Source organism: Homo sapiens, chromosome 2, assembly GCF_000001405.40.
Source record: "Homo sapiens chromosome 2, GRCh38.p14 Primary Assembly".
Lineage (NCBI taxonomy): Eukaryota > Metazoa > Chordata > Mammalia > Primates > Hominidae > Homo > Homo sapiens.
Genome location: NC_000002.12, coordinates 196,524,246 through 196,544,997, shown reverse-complemented (window position 1 = coordinate 196,544,997; position 20,752 = coordinate 196,524,246). Strand labels below are relative to the sequence as shown.

Sequence of the window (20,752 nt, the reverse complement as noted above, 5' to 3'; positions counted from 1 at the left end):
GTTTCACTAAAGTGAGCTTGCCCTTGAGAGGGGTCTACTCAGAATGTGGCAACTCATGGGGTTTCTAAGCTTCCCTGGCTAAGAAGCAAAATCTGAACTTGAGCAAAACAAAGTATGAGGTTCGAGGTCCTGCGGGGCCCTTTTTCCTTTGCTGTTCCCTGTTCCCCCAGCCCCTGTTCTTTACTGTTGAATTCCCACACAGATTACCACATTGTGTGTGTGGTATGCCAGTTTTTAAAAAGGGCATGGCAACAGGAAGATGGAATTGCCACAACTGATTGGACCTGTCATCTGGCCAGCTTTGTGTTTAATAGAAATACTCTCCAGGGACCTGTGATTTGACTTGCTGTCTGCGAAGTAGCACCATTATTTATCCCATTCCTACATCGTGCTATGCAAATGACTTAGGTTGAAATTCATTTCTCAGAAATGGTGGTACCTGTGGAATTGTGAGGTAGTTTTGGAAGAGTGGGCTGAGACCTTCCAGTGCCCCCCAACTGGATTGGTTACAGCAATCAGGAGTTGGGGAGTCACAGGTGTACGCTGTGAAAGGGGAGGGGATGGCTGTTCAGGTCTTGACTGTCCGTCTCTCCCCTTCCTTTCCCTTTCACACTGAGGGACTCATGTTTCTTAGCTCAAGGACAAATGGGACCTCATTAACCACTCTAGCCTGCCTTTCAGGGGCTCATGAGGCTGAGGGAGGGAAGCCAGCTTGAGTTGGGCACTTGGTCCTGCTAGAGGCTGGGCTGGAGGCCTGCCATCCCACAGAGGCCTGTGTGGGGCCTTTGGATAAGAGCAAGGCCATACTTCCGGTCTTGATCTGAGTGGAGTTGTGTCAGTTCTTCTGAGGAAAACTGGTTACTGTCCTTAATGCTGGCAGTAGTTTTTATAGTGCCTGCTTTGAGAGCTGCTTGAGGTAGTCACTTTGCCTCCTTCATCTTTGTATCCCCTTTACCTAGCAGAGTCCTGGAATGTGGAAACATGGGACTGCCTGATGGGTAGATGAACTGAATGCCCTGAGAATGCTGCCTAAGGCTTTCTAGATGTTTTATTACCAATTTACCTGTCTTTCTAAGAAAAGTTCCTGGCTGGGTGCAATGGCTCACGCCTGTAATCCCAGCAGTTTGGGAGGCCGAGGCGGGCAGATCACGAGGTCTGGAATTCGAGACCAGCCTGCCTGGCATGGTGAAATCCTGTCTCTACTAAAAATACAAAAAATTAGCTGGGCGTGGTGGCACGTGCCTGTAATGCCAGCTACTCGGGAGGCTGAGGCAGGAGAATTGCTTGAACCCAGCAGGCGGAAGTTGCAGTGAGCCAAGATTGCGCTACTGCATTCCAGCGTGGGCGACAGAGCGAGACTCCATCTCAAAAGAAAAAAAAAATAAAAAAAGAAAAGTTTTTAAACCATGCCTTAGAATATGAACAGCAGCACACAAAGGCTGATTACATACTGAGAAGGATGGCAATATTAAAGTTAAATTTTTGTAATTACCTCGCATCTGCACATCTATAATAAGATCAATAATTTAACATTTGTGTATGGCATTTTATATTGATTATATAATTATATGCACATTTACAAATACATTAAAAATACATTATAATATTTCCAGATTTGTCTTTCTGGGTAGGACTTTAAAATGTATCTTGAATGTTCTACACACAGAACATTTTTTTTTTTTACCAAAAACAACAAATTTATATATATAAAAATATATATCTAATTCTGAGAAATTATAGGCATCTAAATATGTGACACTCTTCACTTGTAGATTTGTATTTAACTGAACTACTGAACCACTGATGTCTAAAATATTTTCTGACTGTAGCAATATTTGATTACTACATAGAATCTGGAAAATATGAAAAGGCATAAAGAAAAAATAAAAATCACTGAAATGCTACCTCCCAGTGATAGCAACTGCTAATATTTGACAAACTTACTGTTGTCCTTTTTTCCTTTGTGTGTGTGTGTGTATTACAACTGAATTTTGAGGCCTGATTTTATATATATTAGATATGTATAATACCTATATATCATTAATATATAAATATATAATATATAGCTATCTATATCTATAGATCTATATTACATATATTAGATATACCTATATATAGATATATATTAGATATGTAATACCTATATTTTATTAGATGTATATTAGATATTAGATTATATATAGATATGTCTTTCTCTGTGTATCCATGTATCTATCTAGATATATTTATATATATATGCACATATATATCTTTGTATCCTACATTATTTATATAGGATACATTTGTATCCTATATTATTTTCATACCCACCTGCTTGTATACATGGACTGCCCCTAGAAGGAAACAGAAGAGTCTGTTAACAGTAGTTGCTTCTGGGGAGAGGAATGGGTGGCTGACAGAAAAGGGTGTAAGGGAGACTTTTCAATATTTACCATCTTATTGCCTTTGAATGTTGTACCATGTGCATATGTTACTTTTTCTAAAAATATGAATAAACTATCTAAAAATTATGCTATGAGCAATTTCCCATGTCAGTAGGAACTTTTTCAAAACATGAGTTTTAACCACTGCTTATTTTTCTTAATGTTTATTTTTCATGTCATTCGGTTTTCCAGTGTTGGATTTGCCTTTCTCTATGTCCAGTGTGGTTTCAATTCTAGTTCTTTTGTTCTTCTCTCTTGTTTACCGTACTTTTTAAAAACTTGTGCCTTTGTCTTTTTTTTTTTTTTTTTCTGAGACAGAGTCTCACTCTGTCGCCCAGGCTGGATTGCAGTGGCCAGATCTCAGCTCACTGCAACCTTCGCTTCCCGGGTTCAAGCAATTCTCCTGCCTCAGCCTCCTGAGTAGCTGGGACTACAGGTGTGCGCCACCACGTCTGACTAATTTTTGTATTTTTTTAGTAGAGAAGGGGTTTCACCATGTTGGCCAGACTGGTCTCGAACTCCTGACCTCGTGATCCGCCCACCTCAGCCTCCCAAAGTGCTGGGATTACAGGCATGAGCCACCGTGCCTGGCACCTTTGTCTTTTTCTATGTTACATTCCATTTCTTTTGTTTGTCCTGCTATTTATATATTTACCAAATATAGAAGTAAAATTTCTTTTTTTCTGCAATTATTCCTTTAGATAGTTCTTGCATACTATTGAAAATGTTGAACATTTTTCTGAAAAAATCTTCAGGTGTTGGAAGGAGTTTGTTTTTAAGAGATAGAGTCCTTTCTGGTTTCTGGGACTTGTAGTTTTGGAATGAAAGCAACAAAAAAAAAAACCTTTAAATGTTTTCTTATAGGGATCTTTAAATGTAACCAGTTAAAGCAGAGAATCATGAAAGGTGATTGAATTATTCCTTATGCACACTTACCAATCTTTTGATATAAAACTGAGGTCTTCTCTTTGAGTCTGCATCTGCTAATTTGAGTTCCTCTGGGCTTTCTTGCAGAAGCCATACCCATAAGCCTTCCTCCGTGCTTTCATCATTAGTAAAAGGACTTAAAGGCTCTTGGGAAGCAATCTGAGATAAGATTTCTTCTAGAATTTTAAGATTTCTCCCAATCCTCTAGCCATTCTGAATTTGACAGAAGTATTTTTAGTTACCCGCCTTTTACTAAACCTTTCCAGAGCATCTAACTTGGTTTCCATAGATATAATCACTTTTTCTTTTCCTCTCAAATTTTCTGTGGTTTACATAATATTAAATTATACAATTAAATTACATAATATTAATTATGTTACATAATTATATAATTACAATAACAAGTAGAGCTGGCATAAAGAGGTTTGTTAACAAATACAGTTGGCTTTTGGGGGCAGCCAACCCAGCTGATAGGTACAGAGGTGCACAGGCAGTCTGCAGAGCCGCTCCCAGGAGGTCCAGTGGGCATCACTCAGCATATCTTATGGAGGAAATGTAGAGCATTGGCTATTTGGGTGGTTGGTTAGTGAAGGTTAACTTGGATGAGGTTGGTAAGGGAATCTGTAGTATAAAGATACTGATTGACGGAAGGGCACATTGATGGATGGCTTTATGTTCAGTCTCTTGGCAAGATGCTACATTTACAAGTTTGCTTTGTTTTTTCTTTCTAGTTCCTGATAATCACATTCTCTGTCATCAGTAAATGGGAGGAACAGCCATTTCTTTGTATGATTATCCTATGGAGAAAGTGTAGTGATTAAAAATATTGTGCTTCCTCATAGTGACTCCTGTTCATTGTTTTAGAAAAAATATATGGTAAAAAGAAGATGACATTTGAAATTTAGATTCCTGACCAGGTGCAGTGGCTGATGCTTATAAACCCAGAGCTTTGAAGTAGGAGGATTGCTTGAGGCCAGGAGTTCAAGACCAGCCTGGGCAACATAGCGAGACCCCGTCTTTACAAAAACATTAAAAAATTAGCCGTGCATGGTGTTGTACTCTTGTAGTCTCAGCTACTTGGGAGGCTGAAGCAGGAGGATACTTGAGCCAGAAGTTCAAGATGACAGTGAACTGTGAGCTATGATCTTGCCACTGCACTCCAACCTAGGTGACAGAGTGAGAACCTGTCTCTAAAAATAAAAATAAAAAAAAGAAAGAAAAATAAATTATATTCCTTAAACACAAATACCCCTTTCTTACTTGATTATTAAATTCTGATCAATGTCATTGACATTAACAGATTTCTCTAGGGGAGTAATTTAAAGATTGATAAGTCATTAATAAGTAGAACAACTACTTGCTCTTTCAGTTTTTAAAAGTTTAAAGGAGTAACATTCATGATGATAAAATATTTGTTTATTTAAAAAATTTTAATCTTTTTTCCCCCAAAAATTGTATTGAAGGAAAAGTACAAAACATTTGAAGTACAATGTTTACAGTTACAAGTTGTAGTGAATGAATTCCCAAAAATATAGTACAACTCAAGTTGACTTATCTTGTTACATTAAAAAGCCTACTTTTGTCAAAGTAGTTCAGACAGTACATACATAGTGCTCCAGCTGTACCTACGTCAAAACAAAGTGACTGCTCATTCATCCGCTGTCCTGAATAGCTTGGGAAACATTCCTACCTTTTTACATGGGAAAAACAAAACAAAAGATAGTATCAGTTTTGGAATTCTCTATAATTAAACAAGGCATATTCATGTACCACATATCCTTGCAGTGCTCAGAGGTAGCCTCTTCACTTTATATTTTTTAAAAGTGGTAAAATTCCTTTCCTTTTGTGCTATTGAACCTATCTTATATTCAGATTCTCTCAAGGACTAATAAACAAAATACTTACTTGATTGAGGAAGATTTAAGGCAAGTTCAAGCCCTTCCAAAGGGACCCTCATGTGAGATTACTCGTACACGTAAAAGTATTTGTTTTCTTTTTTTTCTTTTTCTTTTTGAGAAGGAGTCTTGCTCTGTTGTCCAGGCTGGAGTGCAGTGGCTGGATCTTGGCTCACTGCAAGCTCCGCCTCCCAGGTTCACACCATTCTCCTGCCTCAGCCTCCTGAGTAGCTGGTACCACAGGTGCCCGCCACCACAGCCGGCCAATTTTTTTGTATTTTTTTAGTAGAGACAGGGTTTCACCATGTTAGCCAGGATGGTCTACATCTCCTGACCTCATGATCCACCCGCCTCGGCCTCCCAAAGTGCTGGGATTGCAGGCATGAGCCACTGCGTCCGGCCTACGTAAAAGTATTTGTTTATTGACCAACATTTTATGGAAAGTTGTCACACGTTTCCTGACATGTAAGCCTTAACATTTCCTGTGAGGAAGGATGGGAGGGAAGAGTTCCCTCATTTCACAGGTTTGTAAAAATGAGCCTGAGAGGTTAAGTGATTTGCCCGAGATCCTACAGGGACTGAGCACCCCAGACAAGAACTTAGGAGTGCTCAGAGTTTCTCCACCAAACTACCTTTAGTCTCGGCTTAAGACTCCAGGGCACTTCTGGACTTCTGCCACTATTCATGCCTTTTGGGCAATAGTTCCTTACTTTTAGGACTAAAAAAGTTGAATCGAGTCTTCCCTTTCAGACCACCACTTCTCACTGTTGGAAGCACTTGGTGTCTTTTTTCAGGGATATTTAGGAAACCCTTTATTTTTTCCACTTTCAAAGAGTACCTGAGCTCCGAGGAAACTGCTGTGGTGGTGCGTTGATTGGTAGAGAGGAGGCGGCTGGTTCCTAGGTGACTGCTAAGCTTTTATTGCTGGTGAGTTTTGATGAGCAGCCTGCCAGCTGGCCTTTCTTATCACTGGAGCTGTCCTTCATATAAAATGAAGGTACCTGGGAGAAAAACTTATACGAGCAAAAGCAAAATTGTCAGAACATGTTAGCTCATGAGACTGTTATAGTTTTTTTAAACTGAAAGTTTTTAATAAGACAAGTCATTTTTTTCTTACATACTCAAGGCTGGGTATAGAGGGGCACTGGTTAAGTCTGGGACTAACCAAACTCCAGGGTGGCTTCCCTGATACAAGACTAATCTAAGCTGCCATCCTAAATCTCCCAAAAATGTACTGTGGGACAGGAGTGTAAAGAACTTTCCCAAAACCTCTCTGAGGACTGCTAAGTGCGGTGTACCTTTTACGCTGCCAGAATGAATGTAGGGCTGCTATGCCAGCTAGCATATTACCCTTTTTACTGCCCTCACCGCAGTTCAGTGTTTGCCAAAGTGTGATCCAGAACTGCTTGTATCACAGAATCTCTTGGGACAGGGCCTGGCGTTCTTAATTTTAAACAAGCTCTCCAAGTGCTCAGTGACACTCTAAAAATTGACAGCCACTGGTTCCTTTATCACCTTCCTTGTTTGTCTTTATCAGAAAAAGTGGAGGATATGCCTCAGGTCAAATCGTTTTGTGGAAGGAGGTGGAGAGGTTACAGGGGAGCAATCTTTGTAAGGTAGAGAAACGATGCAGGTACTTGACTGTCTCTGTCGGACTCCTTCGTCTTTCTGTTGAGTACGAGTGTTACAGGACAGGGGTCCTGATCCAGACACCAACAGAGGGTTCTTGGATCTCCCACAAGAAAGAATTCAGGGCGAGTCCACAGTGCAGAGTAAAAGCAAATTTATTAAGAAAGTACAGTGGTGAAAGGACAGCTACTCCACAGACAGAGTAGGAGGTTCCCTAGCTACAATGCTGGTATATATGGGGAGATGGGCTCTGTTACAAGGGTTTGTGATAAAGGATTAATTTTCTCAATTGCTATATTTTGCAAGAATCAATATTATTATCTTCAAAGAAAAATTGGGAATGCCTTTGTTCTCCAGATATCGGGATATCTGGACACTCCCAAGTCTGGGTCTGTTTAGTAAACATGATTAATTTGTTCCCTTAACCATAAACATCTAGAGGCTAGGAATGCCTCACTTTCTGAGAATGCAGCCCAGCAAGTCTCAGCCTCATTTTCCTAGCCCTCACTCAAGATGGAGTTGCTCTGGTTCGAACGCCTCTGACACCAGTACCGTTCAGCCACACCTCAGCTTCTCCTGTTGTCCGTCCTGGTTCATGCTGTCCCTGGTTTTCTAGACATGTTTTCATAATTATAATCATCTGTGCCCTGTCTGGTCTGCTTGGCAGGCCAAGAGCTTTGCTGCCTCCTGATCTCCAGCTTCAACTGAATTGGAAACGTTTTGAATGTAGCTCGCCGGTCTCTGGGTTGGATGTTTAAATTCCTCTTGGATCTATTGGCTTCCATCGTGAGGCTTTCCATCTTCCCACCTCCCACCCTGTCCCCATACATGGACAGCACATTCTCAGTTTCCACACAGGTTTCCCCAGTATCGCTTTGTCAGTTTTCTGTTTATGTCTAGGAGCACATTTTCCTGGAAACTCTATTGTAGTGTTTAGATGTTCAGGTTCTTCCACCAAAGCTCACTCACCCCATATGGAACTGAATTGTTCTTTCCTAGGAGCAGGAGGCCTGAGATATGGAGGGAGAAGGAAGAAGAATAGCTTTCTTCCTTCTTCCTAGGATGGAAATGATTTTAGGCAAAATTGAACAGAAAGGAATTGGTTTTCGCCCCTGCTTTCTTTTTACTAATTTCATCTTTCCTGGCCTCGTATGTTTGAGATTAGGTGATTAAGCTGTGAGATGTGAGTGATTTGTGTCCCTAGTGAATTTGGGGACCTCTGGACTTGCTCAGTTACAGTGGCTGCTGTCTTTCATCCAACACAACCACCAATGCAGCCATCAAAGATCAAATGAGTTTCAGTGGCCTTCTAACTTGGTGTATTGATGCTCAGTTTGAGTAGCACAGTGGCCATTTAGCAGATTAATGATGGGAATAACTGACTCTGTGGCTCTCAGCCCCTAGTCCAGAGAGTTGGATTATGTGCTCCTGAAGATTATTTGCTGTGTGACTTTTTGAGATCTATAATCTCCTTTTTTCCTTCAAGCTGGAGATTAGTCCTTGGAGGGGGTCTGGGAACAAAATGGCAGACTCTAGTGGTTATCGGGAACAAAAGTTTTTTAAAATTGCTTCTTCGCTTGTCGGTAGAGGAATTTTTAAGGTTGGTGGGAACAGAGATACATAGGCAGCAGGAGTTTTGTGAGGCTGAGCATGCCAACTTTTAGTATCTGTGGGCTTTAGACACATCCTCTGGAAAGCAAGTGCCCACTGACATTTCTGATCTTTCCAGCTCTCTCATGTAGTCCAGTGGCCTTTACAGTAGTCCCTTATGCAGAATACTCTCACAGCTGCTACAGTTCAGAGTGGCAAACCATGCACCTAGGTGTACCAAGAAAACTAATGAACTCAGAAGTTCTTTAAAGCCAGAGGGTCCCATCCCGTAAGTTTTACAGGAGCATCAAAGTGTTTACAGATCAGGTTACTGGTTGATGAGACCTATTAATTATCGGCTTGTTCAGTGTGTCCTTCATGCCCACCCTTGGCCATTTAGAAAAATTGGTATTTATTTTCCAAAAGTTTTTAGGAAGTCATGTAAGTCCTAAGGGCACACATTACCTTTCCAGGTTGTTCTAAAGTGCTCCCAAATTATTTAGCCTCTATCAACCATTTTTTCCTCTCTGTGGTTCTTTGATAGATGTTAGAGTGGAAAGCAATCTGATTGTATTTTTCATAGTCTAGTGATCCCCCTGGAGGTAGATTTTTTTTTAACACATAATACTTGTTAACTCAGATCTCTAATTGATGACATCTCAGGCAATGTATCATAACAAAATGAGCCATTTCAAACATTCTAGACAAACGTGAAGGGACAGCATAAAATAATTTATGGCAGTTTGTCCCTGGAGTCTCTTCTTCTAAACTGTTTCTGCTTTCTCTGTTTTTGCTAGTTTTGAACTCATAGCACCTCTGCATTTCCAAGGTGACTGTGATGATTTGGGATCGATGAGGAGAGGGTAAGGCAGAGAATATCCAGGACTATTATGTACACATTTAGGGTCGACTGTGCCACAGACATTAGACCCAGAAAGGTATGTGGTAAGCGGATAAGGGATTTTGATGCAGCATTCTCACTTACAGGATCTAAGTGCAGTGTGCTTGAGCCTTATAATTAAATTGCCTTATAATTTGCCTTTAGTAAGTCTCTTATCTTTTAGTATGTTATCCAAGGCATTATACCAAACTCACCACTCTAACCGCTGCATGTAAATTTGATGTGGTATGGTATTACATGTTTAACATTGATGTATTTGGAATCTTGTCCTTTGCTATACATTATGTTTGAAGTGGCGCTTAAGAATAACAAAACTAGCATGGTAAACAGGCTGCAGTTCTCACAGTGGTGGCAAGGATCCACCCACATCTAGTTTAGTACTGATCTTGATTTTGTGTTTCTTCATTTGGAGTCTTTGCCAGCTTTATGAATACAGCACTGATTTTCACAAACTGGGAAATCTATTTTTCTCTCTTATGGGAGTGTTGTGAGAAATGAAACTGATGAAGCTTTAAATGTGAGTTTTAGGGGCTAGCGTTTTTAGCAGTTGAAGGAGAGTGGGTTTTTTGTTTTTTTTTTTTTGTTATATTGACAATTTGTTTTCTTCCTAATCGTTTTGTCGTGCAAATTGGTATAGACTGAAGGGGACATAGATTAGTTGGGGAGTTAGCCACTTTGTTAAGTTAGTATTTGCTGTTTCAAAAATTTCTCCATTAAGATGTGGAGAACTAAGTGGCAATTGAAATAGGATTTGATTTTGGTATCTTGGACTTGCAGTGAGATGTCTACCCTATCCCGCTCATTCTAGTCAGCCACACCCTGCCAGGTGAAGCCACTGGAGTAGGCAAAGCAAGCAGCATCTTGTTTCACAGTAGAGACTGACAATGGAAGTGCTTTCTGAGGCCGGGGCAGGCGATTGTGTTAAGCAGGTTCTTGGGAGCTACTTTTAGCTCTTTGAAAAATTTATATCTCAAAGCCCCAGCTCTCCCTCCTGCGTCACAGCAGCTGGCCTACATTTACCAGAATATGCAGACTCTCTTCTGATATTTATGGGAGATGGAGTGAGGCATCAGAGACTAGAAGAAGATTCAGCTATCATTTCAACCCCGTTCTCATTTCTGAGGCTGAAAAGATTCTTCCATGCTCCTTAGGCTATATATTATTTAAAGAGAAGAAAAGTAACAAATTCCTCCCTAGTATTTCACACTCACTGAATTGAGATCTCAGAGTACGTTGCTACTAATAATTTATACCTGTTTATTAATGCTGACATATGAGCAGTTTAGTGCATGAGGCAGGGAAGGGCTACATAGTTGAAGAACAAAGTAGAGTAAAGATTTTTTTTTTTTTCCTGCACAAAAACGGAGGCCCTGACACACACCGAAGACTCATTTACAGTGAGAGTGAAGCTTTCCTGTGGTCAGGAAATACTTCTGTGAAATAGAACTATAAATACCTGATCTTGTAAAGGATGCTAAAATTATACATACTACTTTCAAATTGTCTGATCTCATTTAGTTTAGACACAAAGTTGGGACTTCTTAGCAGATACATATTATCAGTGAAAGCAAATGAAATCAGGATTCTGGGAATAATGTGCAACAGTAAATCAGGGAGCAGCAACAGAAAAACAAATCAAATCCCCAGCCCAGCTGACAGCTCATGAACAGTATCAAAGTAGCAGATGCACTAGGTAAGGTGGTTCATAGCAATGAGGTTATAAATTATGTACAATAATTATTTTCCAGAAAGCTAGTATTATATTTTAGTCCTAAGAAAAATTTGGTTTCTTGTTCTTGATACAAAGCAAAATGGAAGCAGTTGTAAAGCTTTCATCTTACACACTTAATTAAATTCTCGAGTCTACCATTGACCTTATAACTGTTTTACAGTGAGATAAGTTGAGCCAGAAAAAAGTCAGGCTAGTTTAAGGTGACAGTAACAGAGCTTCTTGTCTAGTTAAACACATTGTTAATGGAAAATAAAGAATGAAATTACACCTATATATATATTCCTTTTCCAGTGTCATGGACAAGGATACATATGACTTTGCTGAGATTAAGGAATAGAAGCTCTTCCATCCTGCAGCCTGCAAACTGAAGGGGAAGGCAGGAGGGTGGAGGAAGAATTGAGAATTAGATAAAAGATACCCCCCCACACACACAAAAAAAGATGAGTAGTCTCTTGGCTGTTGTGATTCAAAATAATTTAAAGGGCAAGTTTCATTTGTGGTGGTTGAGGTTGCTTCCTGTTATGGAAGGGGCTCTATCCCACGTCAATAATAAACATTTTTATGCTAGAAACTTAACACTGGAAATAGATAGAGGTCATTGGTTGCTAATTCGTAATCAACATAGGGATCTTTGCTACAGTTTCTCTACAGAGGTTAAGATTACCTGTTTGAACATTTTCATAACATTATAATTTATAAGTTCACCAAAAGATCAGCTGTCCAATTCCTGGTTACCACAAATAATTAAAACATAGTAGCTAAGCATCTGTTTTGGTCTTAAAACAAACATGACTAAGATGCAATTGTAATCTTATTTAAGGTAAGAATAGTAAGGGGAAATTCAGTTGGTCTCCACACCAGAAAAATTACATGGTATGCACCTAAAAATATTAATATGATAGCTGAAGAAACTGTATGTTATCTGACTTTCTTCAACTTCCTTCCCCAAATATTTTCAGTGTATTTTCTTAATAAGATATCTTGGGGAGCAGCCTAGACAGAAGAGTTCACTGAGCCACGCTAAGTTATGCCAAATTAATGTGTCCCTCCTCCTTCTCCTCTTTTCCCCACCTCTTTGCTCTCCTTCTCCTTACTAGTGTTACTATAAGTAAAATAAAATAATATAAGCAATAAATATAGATGATAGCAAGGTAGTTGATAAGATCTCTCCAGAGGTCATTGTAGCCAGTGTGGAGGAATGTGCCCTGGAAGATGGTAATTTTTTTTTTAATATTAACTTTTATTCCCTATTGCACATACTATTTTTTAAATTATTATACTTTAAGTTCTGGGCTACATGTGCAGAATGTGCAGTTTTAATACATTGGTATACACGTGCTATGGTGTTTTAATGCACCCATCAACCCGTCACCTACATTAGGTATTTCTCCTAATGCTGTCCCTCCCCTAGACACCCACCCCCTGACAGGCCCTGGTATGTGATGTTCCCCTCCCTGTGTCCGTATGTTCTCCTTGTTCAACTCCCACTTATGAGTGAGAATATGTGGTGTTTGGTTTTCTGTTCTTGTGATAGTTTGCTGAGAATAATGGTTTCCAGCTTCATCCATGTCCCTGCAAAGGACATGAACTCATCCTTTTTTATGGCTGCATAGTATTCCGTGGTGTATATGTGCCACATTTTCTTTATCCAGTCTATCATTGATGGACATTTGGGTTGGTTCCAAGTCTTTGCTATTGTGAACAGTGCTGCAATAAACATACATATGCACGTGCCTTTATAGTAGAATGATTTATAATCCTTTGGGTATATACCCAGTAATGGGATTGCTGGGTCAAATGGTATTTCTAGTTTTAGATCCTTGAGGAATCGCCACACTGGGAAGATCGTAATGTTAGATGCCAGTTGTGTGCAGGGCACATTGCTAGGTGCTGCCAGTGCAGCAATAAACAAGTGTGATGTGATCTCTTCCTTCAAGGAGCTTATAATGCTTTTGAGACTTTTAGAAAACTAAGAGCAGTGAAATATGTCAAAGTGATGATGAGAGGGTACAGGGTCTTCTGTTGGAGTGTGTGATAGGGATCTAATGGACCTTCAAGATTAGGGAGAGTCTCTCTAAGAAGACAATTTTTAAATAGTGATCCAGAGGCTAAGAAGTTAACTAGGTTAACATTAAGAGGTGGTAAAGTATTCTGAGCATAGGTAACAGCGTGTGCAAAGGCTCGGAAGTAAAAGAGAGCTTGGTCTCATCCTGAAAACTTTTTTTTTTGTTTTTTTTTTGAGACAGAGTCTCACACTGTTGCCTGGGCTGGACTGCAGTGGTACGATCTCAGGACACTGCAACCTCCGCTTACCGGGTTCAAGTGATTCTCCTGCCTCAGCCTCCTGAGTAGCTGGGATTACCGGTGCCCATCACCATGCCCAGCTAATTTTTTGTATTGTATTTTTATTAGAGACGGGGTTTCATTATGTTGGCCAGGCTGGTCTCGAACTCCTGACCTTGTGATCCATCCACTTCAGCCTCCCAAAGTGTTGGGATTACAGGCCTGAGCTGCCGCACCTGGCCAAAAACATTTAATAATAATAAGTTTAGTGTATTTGTTAAAGTACAAGCTAAGCTGCTGTAACAAAGTCACTCCATATTACAGTAGATCGAACAAGACAGAAGTTTATTTCCCCTCCTGAAATAGTTTGGAATTAGTCAGCAAACCAGGGTGATAGGCAGCTCTCCTCTTAAAGGTCATTCTGGAACTTGGGCTCTTTTTATCTTGATCACTCATTTCACTAATGAAACATTATTTCTGGCATCCCTTATGCTAATTAATGAACCACAGTGCGTAAAATGACAGCTGAAAGTCAGAGAGAAGTCTGCTATTAGAATACATATCAAGGGAAATGGAACCCAGTCTTAAGGTTAGGGATAATATTGCGGAGGAAGTGAGAACTGAAGTAGAAGTTGGCCAGATGAAGGTTAGGAGGTGGGAGAGTTCTAGAGGGAACATGTGCGAGAACTCATGGTAAGAGGATAGTGTATTTAAGAAAATGAGAAACACTGGGTGTAGTATTAGGACATACTTTAAGGTACTGCAACAAGGAGGCCACAAATTACAATGAATCAAACAAGATAGAAGTTTATTTTCCTCCCATAGAACAGTTAGGATTTAGTATAGTGGCTTGTGGAGAGTGGATACCTCCATAGGGTCCTTGCAATGCCAGTAAGAGTAAATTACTGATTAGGGAAATTGAATTGTTATATTTAGTTGTTTATGAATAACTAAATAACTGTCTTACTGTATTTTAAAGTAGATTATAAGACAGCTCACTAAACCATGTTAAGGAGTTTAGGATTTATCCAAAGGTAGACATGAAACCATTTGAAAAGAGGGAATTAAGCTTGCAATTTATAAAGGTGGCACTGGTTTTAATGCCATGAATTAAGAGGAGAGCAAGATGGAAGGCTGGAAGGTCAGTTAGGCTATTGCTGTAATCCAGGTGAGAAAGGATATGGTGGTGGTCTGGATTCTGTAGGGATGGTTATCTGTTAGGCATAATATAATTAGTAGGCAGAACTTCATGGAGAGGAGTTTGGTAGAAATTATTTTAATCTATTACTGTCCAGGCCTGAGCTTCATAACATTGTATGCATCCCTAGAATTCTAAATGTCCATACATTTATTTAATGAGGGTTGCAAAGTCAAATATTTACCAAGGCTTGCTTAGCACAGGAAAACTAAATAAAGCAGGCTTGCTGTAAGAGTGGGAGGTTTTGGGGAACTGGACAGCACATGCACCCTTTAAAGAGGACAAGTCTATTCAGTTGCAGGCAAGTGTTGCCATTTGTAAATAAGAATTATTGCCAGATCTTCTGATTTTTTTCTTTTTCCAAAGTATCTTAGATTCTTATATGAAATCTAATTTTTACATGTTGATGTCTAAGTAAAAATTAAACAAACTTGCAAACAGAATACTGAGTAGGCCAACATTGTTAGAGCCAAATAAAACAAGTAGGAGTGGGATTTTGTTTGCCTGGGTTCATTTGTGACCTCCAGCTAATAACTGTATTAGTTAGGGCAGGCTGATATGACAAAGAAATCCAATAAGAAAATGGCCAAAAGAACAGAGATGTTTGTTTCCCATGTGACAGTTCCAGTGTGAGTGGGCCAGGTGGCCAGACATTGTTGCTCTTCATGGTCACTCAGGTGCTTTCCAAATTGTTATCTCCTAGTGTAGACTTGTTCACTGGCATGGTTGTAGCTGGCCATCACCATGTCTGGATTCCAGCCATCAAAAAGGGAAGGAGAGTATGGATGAACATGAGCACACTCCTTGTCCTAAGGCCCTGGCCATCTATTCATAACAATGTAATATTTATGTATGTTTGTGTAGCATTCTTTTCTGTTAATTTTTTAAATCCTTATAGCCATTTGAGCCTGGCATGAGGGGTATTATTCCTGTGTGACAGATGAAGAAGTAAGGTTCAGGTGGGTTGTGACTTGCCCGAGATCACAAAGAGAATTAGTGGTGGAAGACCAGAATCCACCTCAACTCTTTTTTAGTAATAATAAAATACCTTTTAAATGTATTAATAATAATTTATATGAGTTCCTATTACCAAACAAAATTGAGTCACTTACCAAAGTGTGAAGGGAGATGGCAACATGTTTTTCCTCCTGAAATATGTTACCATATTCCCCTTCCAAAATATCATTCTTGATCACAGCTAGCAGCACATGGGGAGGTACACAAGAGCCAGAAGTCCTTTGAGTTCTTAGTAGGATGGTTTTGCTCTGGAATACCAGAACATTCTTTTGTCTTAAATATTACAGGGTAATTGTGTGTAGGAATATTGATTCCATGTGGTGTGGCTTCTGCATGTGGTTATAAGCTTCAGCCTCATTTGATTTCTGTTTCTGAGAAAATGATGAGAGAGTCATGGCAAGAATTGCTCTCATTAGTCAAATCACTCTCCTGGTTCTGGGTAACCCCAACTCCCTGCACAGATAAAGGAAGTCTCATTTAACGGTTTTTGGAGCATTTCACTAATGTAGAAAAAGAGAAAGCCAGAGAGTTTCCAGGTACCTGACTGTTCTCATTCATGGTTACCCAAGTCTTTGAATGAAACATTTAAACAGTAAATTTGGAGTTCTGCAGAATGAAAAGTTAGAGGGATGTGGAATTCTTTCTCCTCATTCTTTTATTAGAACTAGGAAAAGAACCAGGCATGACCACATAATTGTGACTGCTCCCATGAAGAATGGGCAGAACAATGAAACAGTGATGTGCTGACAGTGCCTTGGATGTGTACAATAGAAAAGCCTTCCTTTTTTCTTTTGTTTTGTTTTGCTTTTGAAGGAGCATCCTGTTCTGGTTGGTTGAGGCCAGGATTATAATTCCAGGATACCAAGGTTCTAGTCCTGGTGTTTCTGCCCCTGATTCTCACCACTGACTTTGAAAATCTATTAGTGTTTGGTTGTTTCTGGCAACAAATCAGTTTTAAATAGGTGAGGCCAAGTATGTTCTGCCTCTTATGTGGAGAACAGAATAGTGTAATGTTGTTTTTATGTAATTTAATATACGTAATTAAAAATAATACAGTTGACTCTGCTTTCCACTAGTCAATTTTTAATAATATAGGTACCAATGTTAATATTTAATTAATTGCTTGGTAATGCGTTTATATAATTGAAATCATTACACATTTATGTAATTGAATCATTTAAAGAGATATTTTTAAAAGTATAGGTCATGTTTATTGAGGGAAGAATTTTGCATATTAAGTGATGGCCCAAATGATCTCTTGGTAAATATGGGAACTCTAATCAAAGTTACTACCACCATTACAGTTGCTATCACCTCCATCATCATCTTTTTAGTTCCTGCTATGGGACTCATTTTCTAGAAGAGGAAAAAGAACCTTTTAGAGGAAACCAAATCACTCAATCTTTTATGGGCTTTATGAACAAGAAATTAAGGAATCATTATCATTGTATTTTTAAAATGTGGAAATAATCAGAAGTGAAACCTGGTAGTTTTCAAGTCTGTGAGCCTTTTTTAAAAATTAATTTACATGACTGCTTATAAAATTTTAACCAGGACATAAAAGTCACTTAAATATGTTTCTTAAAAATTTCAAGTGGACTCCTTCTAGGACAGGGCTATAAACCCCTGGGGCTTGAAATATGGTTCAAAGCGTGCTGCTGTTAAGTCTGAAGTTTCTCTGCAATGTATTACTTTAAAAATTCATGCAGATATAGTATTCTGTTTTGTATATTTTTTGTTTCAACATAAAAATACTGTTTTAAATTATTCAATGTAGGGTAAAATTTGACACTCCAGGAAGGTTTTCTTGTGGTTTGCCCTTAACGTTGCCTCAGACCTGAGTTGAGCTTGGGCAAGCCCATTTATGTTGTTCATAGTGGCTGGATTAAAATGAAGGGATTCGAGGAGCCAAGATGGCCGAATAGAAACAGCTCCGGTCTACAGCTCCCAGCGTGAGCGACGCAGAAGAAGGGTGATTTCTGCATTTCCATCTGAGGTACCGGGTTCATCTCACTAGGGAGTGCCAGACAGTGGGCGCAGGCCAGTGGGTGCGTGCACCGTGCGTGAGCCGAAGCAGGGCGAGGCATTGCCTCACTTGGGAAGTGCAAGGGGTCAGGGAGTTCCCTTTCCGAGTCAAAGAAAGGGGTGACGGACGCACCTGGAAAATTGGGTCACTCCCACCCGAATATTGCGCTTTTCAGACCAGCTTAAAAAACGGCGCACCACGAGATTATATCCCACACCTGGCTGGGAGGGTCCTAGGCTCACGGAGTCTCGCTGATTGCTAGCACAGCAGTCTGAGATCAAACTGCAAGGCGGCAGCAAGGCTGGGGGAGGGGCGCCCGCCATTGCCCAGGCTTGCTTAGGTAAACAAAGCAGCCGGGAAGCTCCAACTGGGTGGAGCCCACCACAGCTCAAGGAGGCCTGCCTGCCTCTGTAGGCTCCACCTCTGGGGGCAGGGCACAGACAAACAAAAAGACAGCAGTAACCTCTGCAGACTTAAGTGTCCCTGTCTGACAGCTTTGAAGAGAGCAGTGGTTCTCCCAGCACGCAGCTGGAGATCTGAGAACTGGCAGACTGCCTCCTCAAGTGGGTCCCTGACCCCTGACCCCCGAGCAGCCTAACTGGGAGGCATCCCCCAGCAGGGGCACACTGACACCTCACAGGGCAGGGTATTCCAACAGACCTGCAGCTGAGGGTCCTGTCTGTTAGAAGGAAAACTAACAAACAGAAAGGACATCCACACCGAAAACCCATCTGTTTATCACCATCATCAAAGACCAAAAGTAGATAAAACCACAAAGATGGGGAAAAAACAGAACAGAAAAACTGGAAACTCTAAAACGCAGAGCGCCTCTCCTCCTCCAAAGGAACACAATTCCTCACCAGCAATGGAACAAAGCTGGATGGAGAATGACGTTGACGAGCTGAGAGAAGAAGGCTTCAGACGATCAAATTACTCTGAGCTACGGGAGGACATTCAAACCAAAGGCAAAGAAGTTGAAAACTTTGAAAAAAATTTAGAAGAATGTATAATTAGAATAACCAATACAGAGAAGTGCTTAAAGGAGCTGATGGAGCTGAAAACCAAGGCTCGAGAACTACGTGAAGAATGCAGAAGCCTCAGGAGCCGATGCGATCAACTGGAAGAAAGGGTATCAGCAATGGAAGATGAAATGAATGAAATGAAGCGAGAAGGGAAGTTTAGAGAAAAAAGAATAAAAAGAAATGAGCAAAGCCTCCAAGAAATATGGGACTATGTGAAAAGACCAAATCTACGTCTGATTGGTGTACCTGAAAGTGATGGGGAGAATGGAACCAAGTTGGAAAACACTCTGCAGGATATTATCCAGGAGAACTTCCCCAATCTAGCAAGGCAGGCCAACGTTCAGATTCAGGAAATACCGAGAACGCCACAAAGATACTCCTCGAGAAGAGCAACTCCAAGACACATAATTGTCAGATTCACCAAAGTTGAAATGAAGGAAAAAATGTTAAGGGCAGCCAGAGAGAAAGGTCGGGTTACCCTCAAAGGGAAGCCCATCAGACTAACAGCGGATCTCTCGGCAGAAACCCTACAAGCCAGAAGAGAGTGGGGGCCAATATTCAACATTCTTAAAGAAAAGAATTTTCAACCCAGAATTTCATATCCAGCCAAACTAAGCTTCATAAGTCAAGGAGAAATAAAATACTTCACAGACAAGCAAATGCTGAGAGATTTTGTCACCACCAGGCCTGCCCTAAAAGAGCTCCTGAAGGAAGCACTAAACATGGAAAGGAACAACCGGTACCAGCCGCTGCAAAATCATGCCAAAATGTAAAGACCATCGAGACTAGGAAGAAACTGCATCAACTAACGAGCAAAATCACCAGCTAACATCATAATGACAGGATCAAATTCACACATAACAATATTAACTTTAAATGTAAATGGACTAAATTATCCAATTAAAAGACACAGACTGGCAAATTGGATAAAGAGTCAAGACCCATCAGTGTGCTGTATTCAGGAAACCCATCTCACGTGCAGAGACACACATAGGCTCAAAATAAAAGGATGGAGGAAGATCTACCAAGCAAATGGAAAACAAAAAAAGGCAGGGGTTGCAATCCTAGTCTCTGATAAAACAGACTTTAAACCAACAAAGATCAAAAGAGACAAAGAAGGCCATTACATAATGGTAAAGGGATCAATTCAACAAGAAGAGCTAATTATCCTAAATATATATGCACCCAATACAGGAGCACCCAGATTCATAAAGCAAGTCCTGAGTGACCTACAAAGAGACTTAGACTCCCACACATTAATAATGGGAGACTTTAACACCCCACTGTCAACATTAGACAGATCAAGGAGACAGAAAGTCAACAAGGATACCCAGGAATTGAACTCAGCTCTGCACCAAGCGGACCTAATAGACATCTACAGAACTCTCCACCCCAGATCAACAGAATATACATTTTTTTCAGCACCACACCACACCTATTCCAAAATTGACCACATACTTGGAAGTAAAGCTCTCCTCAGCAAATGTAAAAGAACAGAAATTATAACAAACTATCTCTCAGACCACAGTGCAATCAAACTAGAACTCAGGATTAAGAATCTCACTCAAAGCCGCTCAACTGCATGGAAACTGAACAACCTGCTCCTGAATGACTACGGGGTACATAACAAAATGAAGGCAGAAATAAAGATGTTCTTTGAAACCAATGAGAACAAAGACACAACATACCAGAATCTCTGGGACACATTCAAAGCAGTGTGTAGAGGGAAATTTATAGCACTAAATGCCCACAAGAGAAAGCAGGAAAGATCCAAAATTGACACCCTAACATCACAATTAAAAGAACTAGAAAAGCAAGAGCAAACACATTCAAAAGCTAGCAGAAGGCAAGAAATAACTAAAATCAGAGCAGAACTGAAGGAAATAGAGACACAAAAAACCCTTCAAAAAATCAATGAATCCAGGAGCTGGTTTTTTGAAAGGATCAACAAAATTGATAGACCGCTAGCAAGACTAATAAAGAAAAAAAGAGAGAAGAATCAAATAGACACAATAAAAAATGATAAAGGGGATATCACCACTGATCCCAAAGAAATACAAACTACCATCAGAGAATACTACAAACACCTCTACGCAAATAAACTAGAAA

The 20,752-nt window shown here is 40.1% G+C and overlaps 1 protein-coding gene across 8 annotated transcripts in view, besides 1 other annotated feature; it reads left to right on the top strand.

Moving 5' to 3' along the window:
* Positions 1 to 20,752, top strand: part of HECW2 (HECT, C2 and WW domain containing E3 ubiquitin protein ligase 2) — a 399,483-nt gene that overhangs the window by 48,557 nt on the left and 330,174 nt on the right. The gene's annotated exons all lie outside the window — the stretch shown is intronic.
* Positions 13,974 to 14,033: an enhancer, noted in NCBI's record as "active region_16909". NCBI's record gives its function as "activates an Ori minimal core promoter by ATAC-STARR-seq in GM12878 lymphoblastoid cells {active_cell/tissue: GM12878}" and the evidence as "EXISTENCE:reporter gene assay evidence [ECO:0000049][PMID:35858748]".